The sequence below is a fragment of the Homo sapiens genome, chromosome 3 (genome assembly GCF_000001405.40).
Source record: "Homo sapiens chromosome 3, GRCh38.p14 Primary Assembly".
NCBI classification, from domain to species: Eukaryota; Metazoa; Chordata; class Mammalia; order Primates; family Hominidae; genus Homo; species Homo sapiens.
The window spans coordinates 93,811,029-93,819,813 of NC_000003.12; positions in this window are offsets into that span (position 1 = coordinate 93,811,029).

Sequence of the window (8,785 nt, forward strand, 5' to 3'; positions counted from 1 at the left end):
CGGGTAGATCGCCTGAGGTCAGGAGTTCGATACCAGCCTGGTCAACATGGCGAAGCCCCGTTTCTACTAAAAATGAAAAATTAGGCTGGTGTGGGGGTGCACGCCTATAATCTCAGCTACTCGGGAGGCTGAGGCAGGAGATTTGCTTGAACCCGGGAGGCAGAGGTTACAGTGAGCCAAGATTGCACCATTGCACTCCAGCCTGGGCAACAGAGTGAGACTCCATCTCAAAACAAACAAACAAACAAACAAACAAAAAACATGCATTGGCATTCATCATCCAAATGCAACACTTCCGTATCATCAATAAGATTCTTTTTATTGTGTATACCTTACATATACATAATTGTAAAAACGAAAAGGAAAAGCTTCTGTCTACCTGATAGTTTCATTTTCCTTGTATCATTAGGTTCTTAGACCCTTTTATGTAATAACACTGCTTTACATAAAACTCTAGAGCTCTGCAGAAGTGCAATTTTTCAGCATTTTCTGCTGCAACTGCTATTAATCTAAGCAAAAGAATACATTTAGTTGATCCCTTTTGGGCTTGCATCTCATTAGAAAAATGTAAAATTTTTCTGTAAAATGTAAAAAAATAGCCTCTCTCAAAAAATAAACATTTTTATTTGAACCAAAATTACATTTCTTAAGCATGTTTCAAATAATTTTTTCAAAGCTCCTTCACAACTCAAAATGCCAAAATGAAATACTTTTTTGTTTGCTATAAGGGCCCCTATCTAAAAAAACAAAGGGCTACCAACTCAGCAACATCTTATACCAACCTATTCTAAATAGTTTGAAAATACACTGGTACAATTTGAAGTGGAATGCATGACTCTTCTTAATAAATTAATGATTTTATCTACAGTACTGGCAAAAAAAAAGGGTATATATAAACCAGGATAATATTTCATTCACTGGAATAACTCATTAGAATAGAACTGAGAAAAAAAAAAGAACCAACACAGAAAAAAACAAAGGAAATATAACAATGAAATTTAAGATTTGTGAAAGAGTTTTATTTCCATTTAGAAGAAAAAAGTGAATACAGACTTCAGGGGTATAACCTCATGAAATAAATTAAATTTGACTAAAGCATGAAAAATGAAGTAATAAAACATGAAAGGAAGAGATAGTGGATGACAAAAATACTTTTGCCTAAAATTCTTATTTTCCCTTTGATACAAACCCCGTTCCTCCATTGTATCTCTGTTTAATTTTGTCATTCCTTTCTAGGAGTAAGAAGTCAAATGAACCAGGGAAAAAAAAACGTAACAAAAACTTTCTCCTTAGCCAAAATTTAAGGAGGAAATTTACAGAATCTGGGAATTGTGGGGAGGAATACATGAACGGAATTGTAGCTGGATTCAGAGAGGCCCAGTTGGCCTTTTTGATCATCTCCAGTAATGATTAATACCAGTTACTGCTGGGCCTGCAAAGCTTCTAGACCTGCTGGGTAGCCGTCTGAGTATTGAACGAAATGACCTTCCATGATTTTCAAATACCGTAGTAGATCAATTGTGTTTTAGCATTTTGCACAGCTGGTTATTTGGTTAAATGTTGGCAATTCCCCAAAGCCCTCATTGCATTTTGGAATGTACCTATTCATTTAAAATACACTGCAATGTATTGCCTTGGATAGTGTGTTTGTACCAGGGGGATTAGTTCAGCAATGCTGTGCTCCCACAAACAAAATATCCCTCCTGGAGAGATGGTTTCATTGGTCAAGCTGTAAGTGCATACTATCTGATAACAGTTATTTTTAAACTGAGAAGCTATTAAGATTAGTCAGAGAATAAAAAGCTTTTGAAAAAGTTAAAAGAAAAAAAAGACCAGATGGCAAAATTAACCGCAAAATAATGTATGATCCAAAATAAAATCAGTCAATGCTGCCTGAGTTTTAATGCAATTTAAAAACAACAGACTCACAAAATGCCAGAAAAATTGTCCACACATTCTAAAATAATTCAGCAGGTCAGATTATAAGACTTGTTACCAATAAGTGTTCATTTTTGGCATTTCAAGTTTATCAGAGAGCTTTCACGGTTTTTTTTAGGTTAAAAAATGTATATTCTTTGTTCTTATTATGTGGGAATTTCTTCCCACCATTCAGAGAAAACAGAAACCAATCTGTTCTTCCTCCCTTAGAAAGGAAAAGCAATGAGATTAAATCTTTTTAATCCAATGAGCCCTCCATTGCTGCTCCTAACAATAGGCCTCAGGACTTTTCTGTTGCTATTATTTAAGAGCTTGCTCCCTGGTCCCAGTTTATAATTTTTCCCCCAAGGTAATGGTTGTAAAGTCTTCTTCCTCTCTTGCTTTAGTTTTGGAACTTTTGTTTAGAGATAAATGACTGAATAGTGCATTTGTTTAGTTATTCTCAAAGATACACTAGATGATGTTCATACCCAATCTGTCAGTGTCTCCCTCTGTGAATGGGAGTAATTTAAGTATCTATTTTTTTAAGAAATAAGAGCTAATGCAGGTAATGTACATGACACAGCACTTGACAGTTAGAACATGTTCCATGGCTGTTAGCTTATTATCAAATGGCCTCCTAAAATACAAAGAGGCATTTGAAACATCTTCAAAGAAATGTGTAGCTTGATATCTAAAGTCAAGAAGAGAAAAAAGAAAAGAGAAGATAGAAAAACACCAAAGGTAAAAGACACTTTAATTCACTTTACTCTGCTTTAATTCATGGCACCATATCTGCTTCATGTTCTACCCAGGTGTTAAAAGAATGAAATTGAGTTGCTTCTTCATTCCATCTTTTTTTTTCCTTTGCAGAACATTCCATCTATTTCAAATACAGATTACAAAAATATTCCATTTCTGAACATAATGGTTAATACTATGATATTTTTATTAGTTTGTGTTTTGAAAACCTAACATAAATAGCAAGTACAAAGAAGGATTGGGAGGTGGTAGTCAAGAGTAGGCTTAAAGTAATAAAAATCCTTACATAATTGACAAAACTGTCCCTAAAATAACTCCAAAAGGCAATCTAAAATGGATAAAAATATGTGCATACATGAGTCTTTTATATTTTAGGTGCTTCTGAATTAATTTATTCTTTAAAAAGTGATTTAAAATGAAGATGTATATGGTTGCATGAGTATGAAGTTAAGAAAAACACAAGTCAAAGAAGTTCTCCCCAGAATCATCTCATTATTATTGTTCTTCCAGTTTCCTAGGAAGGTCTCATACTTAAAGTTTTGTTTCCTTTGCAAAGAAGCAAGGAAGAAATAGACAGCAGAGAAGCTGGAACCAATCCCAAGGGGTTAATGAGGGTGTAAGAGACAGAAGGTAGACAGGGCTAGGTAGTCACTACAGCTGGGGATCATTAATAGCAATCAAGGGCCACTATAAACAAATCATCAGGAAGTATGGAGGATCTGCATTTTCCTGGCTTAGTAGCAGGAGCCATCTGGACAGAGGGAATTTGGCTTAATATCCTCATCAGGGAACTTGGGTTTTTTTGTTTGTTTGTTTGTTTGTTTGTTTTTAACCACTCCAGTATAGTAGGTCACTGAAGTAAACAAATTGAGCATGGTTATGCTATAACAGATTAAATTACTATGACAAATATAAAATCCACAATGGATTATGACTAACTTAACAATATAGGAAGAATTTTACCTATATTGGTAAACATAGTTTTAAGAGCAACCAGGGAAAATTAAACAAAGGAGAGAAAAGAGGGAAAAAGTTATTGGTTTACTATATATATATATTATATTCTCCAGAGTTTAAAAAAAAAAAGAAATCATTGCTTGTTTAATAGCATTTGAGTCAGCAGAACTGGCGACTGTGACCAAATCTGTTTGAAAAGACCATGTAGGCAGTCCTGCGTGGGGGATTGGCTAACAAACATGAAAGGCAAGGATAATCTAGGGAAGCAGAGGCTGAAAGGCCAAATGGTGGGTTTTTGCAAGACCCTTTCTTCTGACTCTACACTTACAGCTCTCTATCATTTCTACCCTACTTCCAAACGTTTACTGCACTCACACCAGACACTAAACCTTTTAGTATTTTTTTTTCCAGCTTGGCATTTGCTTTACTGCTATGTGGCTCCCTCTCTTCCTATGTATAGCTGGTAACATCTCGCTGTCAAGGGGACAGATAGGCTGATCTCCAGGATCCAAGGAAATTCTCCATCTATGAATCTGCAGTCTCCCTTAACTTCTTTTCTCTCTTTTCGTATTGTCAGTTCTTTAGAAGGGTGACTCTTTCAAACATTGAATCTACTTAAAACGTTGGCTTCAGAATTTGGATAAATTAATTCAAGAACTAATGCAAATTCAAGACCCTAACGTTACTATGACTTGAAGTTATCTACTTCTGATGACTATGAAAGACTAGATGTTAAAAAGTTGCTATGAGATACATTCACTATCAGTATCAGTTGGCTAATTTGATCCTAAGGGACATTCCAAAGATGTTGGAATACCTCATGGAGTTGAGTTCAAATCGCCAAAAATGGCTATTAGGTCTAGCATTCAAGTTAAGGCCTCAATGCACAGTAATATGTTGAGTACTTAAGAGTTAGGTTTAGGTGGAAGAGAATCTCTGTCCAACCATTTAGCAGCTGAGCTGCCTAACTAGGAAAGATGCATAACCTCCCTGAGATTCAATTTTCTCACTTGCAAAATAGAAAAAATAGTACCTACCTCACAGTGTGGAGGATTTAGTGTGTTAACGTGTGCAAAGTCCTTAACGTGGTGCACAGTTTAAGGAACAAGCTCAAAACGAAAGTCAGTTTGGGCCGGGTGCAGTGGCACACACCTGTAATCCCAGCACTTTGGGAGGCCAGGGCAGGTGGATCACCTGAGGTCGGGAGTTTGAGACCAACCTGGCTAACATGGTGAAACCTCGTCTATACGAAAAATACAAAAAATTAGTCAGGCATGGTGACAGGCGCCTGTAATCCCAGCTACTCAGGAGGCTGAGGCAGGAGAATCACTTGAATCCAGGAGGCAGAGGTAACGGTGAGCCGGGACCATGCCACTGTACCCCAGCCTGGGTGACAGAGTGAGACTCCATCTCAAAAAAAAAAAAAAAAGAAAGAAAGAAAAAAAGAAAAAGACAATTTCTATTATTTCTAGTAATTGCTTTTGAAAAATGTTGTGACTTCCCTCCATTTTAGGCAGACTCACATTTGACTTGTACCCAATTGTGAAATTATAAATATTTTGCAGTGAATCATTCTACCTCTACTTTGTGATTATTTTTTGTCAAGTGCATTGTGTGCACACAATTCCCATCAAATAAAGGTGAAACTAATTTCTGGGTTTTTTCTGTCCTGGGTAGCAATTATAATTTACTTGGAATATGGTTTATTATAAGTCATCAAATACATTTCCCAATAGTGCCATTGCATTCTACCTATCTAAATATTTTTCTGCTGATTTATTTATCTATTCCTCAGAACAAAAATAAAGAAACCCAAGAAAAAGAAAGCCATATGACAAAGAATATAATTTCCTTATCCAAGGTTCTTACAAGCTAATACATGTACATTTTTAATACATTGACCCTTAATTTACAGTGATGATTTCAAATACCATAGAGGTTCTAACTAATTCTATGTCTTCCAAAAATTCTTAGTTTAGCCTTACAAAGGAGAAATTTACATTCAGCATAGACTACACTCAAAGAAGGAAAAATTTAGCCATTTGTTCAGACATGACAATCATTCTTTTTTCAGTCATTAAATTAGCCAACATTTACAGAATACTTAGATGTGCCAACACATTGCTAGGCAGTATGAATATGATAGCGCACAATACCTTGCTCTCACGGAGCTTAAATTATGGTGTGGAAGATAGAAAACTAATTACTCAATCATATATGTGATGTGTTAGATTGTAAACAGCTCTAAGGAGAAAAAGATAAAGTAAGGAGGGAGGACTTGAAGTGTGGAGATGGAAGATTGAGATGTTAATGTTGACTGGGGTGGCTCAATGTGAAGGTGAGTTTTGGTGAAAAACCTGAAAGCACAAAGGAGCTTACTCTACTGAGAGCCAAGGGAGAGGATGAAGAGAAGTACAAGAGATGAGAGAAAAGTACCAGGAGACAGAGCATTTACAGCCTTTTCTTTGTATCTCCTTTGAATCAGAAATAAATATTGTCTAGAAAATAATGCATAGTTTAATTGTCCTACAAAATATGGACTCCAGATTAAGATACCCTAAATAGGATGTTTCAAAGAAACAAATAGTCTTTCGGCTAGTCATACCAAAACTCTGTATTTGCATGTACATTATCTATAGCGGGTCTTTTCTAAACATCATCTTTGATTTAATTTAAGGCTGAAGAAACATGTTGAAGAAAATACGATCATTGAATCTTCTTTCCTTATCTCCTAAGACAAATCACAGTGTTAATCATTTGGTAATTCACCTTTAGTTTAAAATTATGGTAGAGGTCAAGAGGATTCATAACAAAGGACTGGCCTCAAGCGCTGCCAAGGTAAAAGAACAGTTTACACCCCAAGGTTAAAGAGTCTAAATCTGTAATGCTCAGTGAAGATTCCTTCAGAAACTCCCTGACTTCACTGCAGGTAAAAATCATTAAAAGCAGGGCATAGACAGGTCTATAAAAGCATCTAATACCAAAAAAAAGAAAACTGTTCAACTGAGACATGAGAACTTTTAATGAAGAAAAGGTTTTAGTACTGAACCACCATTTAAAAAGTAGAGAACTAAGAAGATTCTCATTCAACTGACATCAATTAAGCAAAGTGAAGAGACCTATTCTAGACACATAGAAAGGAAGTGATGTTACCATCTAACTGGGAAGACAGGTGTTCTTAATAACAACAATGAAACGCTAAATTTGATAACCAAAATAAAACCAAAAGTTTCAGGACCATTTTTACGACTTCAAGTATAAATCTACTAGAAAAAATAGAAATCTTCAACTAGCGTATGTGAAACATTTACAACTTCTTCATGTAAGCAATATTTTTTTTACCATGAAAAAGAAAGCTATTGTTTAGCTATTTCTCTATTTTGTAGCTATTTTGAGATACACTCTTCCCATATCTGATTGCTTTGCACCTCAAAGAAAACTCTACCAGTAAAAATATGGTTATTTTGACTTGAGAATAATTATACTGACCTCTGAAGAGGAAAAAATATATAAGAATAGATTGGAAAATTTGTCTTCTTCTGACTAAGAAGACAAATCTTTTAAAGATGGAAGTGGAACACAGTGTGGTTTCTATTATGCTGATCCTTCCATTTTTTGTGGATGGTAGGGCCACTTGATACACAAAAAATATCTTGACAACACCCATCACCTCTAATCCTACTCCCTTTTTCCTGATTGACTCCTATCAGGATTAATATCTACCTGAGCTAATCAACCCAGATCAGCTGACAGTTTACTGCAAGCCAAACCGAACAGAAATGTGTCAGTCCGGTCAATGGTGGCAAACAAAATCTAGAAATGTTAGTCTCTTCTGGCAGTTCCTGCCTGTGCTTTAAGTTAGACAGCCCTACTACTACACCTGCTACCACCATCACACCAGAGCCTTCTCTCCTATCTCCCATCACTACCAGCAACGTGTTGCCAATATTTCATCCAGATCTCAAGGTCCCTGAGGTTCTTACCATAATTTAAGGTTAGATGGGAAAAAGAGAGAAAAGCAATGAGCAAAATAGCATCATTAGTCCCAGCAGAACCTTAGCTGGGGTCTCTGATTGCTGCCAGTCATCTTCACCTGGTGAGTGAATCATCCTTCAACCTTTAACAAGACTCACCTTGAGTAGTTATGCTTGTCAAAACAGGTATAATTTGGCCACATTTCTATTTGGACATCACTTTTTACTGCCAGCCCTTCCCCTATTAGCTAAAGTTCTCTAGGTTTTGTGTAACTCACATGTCTTTCCCTTTTGCTCATTTCTTCTCCACTCCACCACACACAGTGCAGAAGCAGTTCTCAATATGTTTCTGCAACTAGGTGCCAAGGTATAATATGTTGGTGCAAAAGCGATTGTGGTTTTTGCCATTACGTTTAATGGCAAAAAACGCAATCGCTTTTGCACCAACTAATATATGGAGGTTATGAAGTAATCCTTTGCTAAAGTGGCAACTTCTCCCTTCACAATGAAATACTGTTGTTTCCCACTATTAAAGTTGTTTGTCCAACTTGATAAGGCTCATCTTAAGCAATTTAGAAAAATGGAAATAAAGTTATATTCACTTGCACTTGCCTCTAAACTTCTGAAACTGGCATACAGTATCAATCAAATGGGGAATCCAGAAGTACAATAGAATCTATGTCTAAAAAAGTAGCCTTAAATTTATGACATTGTTAATTTTTGACAGATGGACTTGCTATGCTAAAGTCAATGGGTATTTTATACAAAATAAATTATGATTCAATTATTGAAATATGTTTCCCCAGAAAAAACAGATGTTTTTATAATTTATCAAATCATGCCACACTTATTAGGAGATTATAACTTGTCTTCAAGTATTCACTCAACAAAACAACAAAAATGTGGACAGAGGCCACAAAAATGTTTAGGCCTCACACTATGGAGTATGAGTTTCCTATAGTTAATTTATGTCTAAACTTAATCCAGTTGTGTTTTTTCTCTTTGGCCAAGTATAAGAAATGAGAGTTACCAAAAAGCCACTTCCAAATAAATTGAACTTAAAGTTTGATGAATAATTGTCCTTATCTATCATATGTGTATCATATAATATGCATATGTGTATACATAATATATATGCCTATACACACATAGGTGCTTCCGCCGTCACTCAGCAC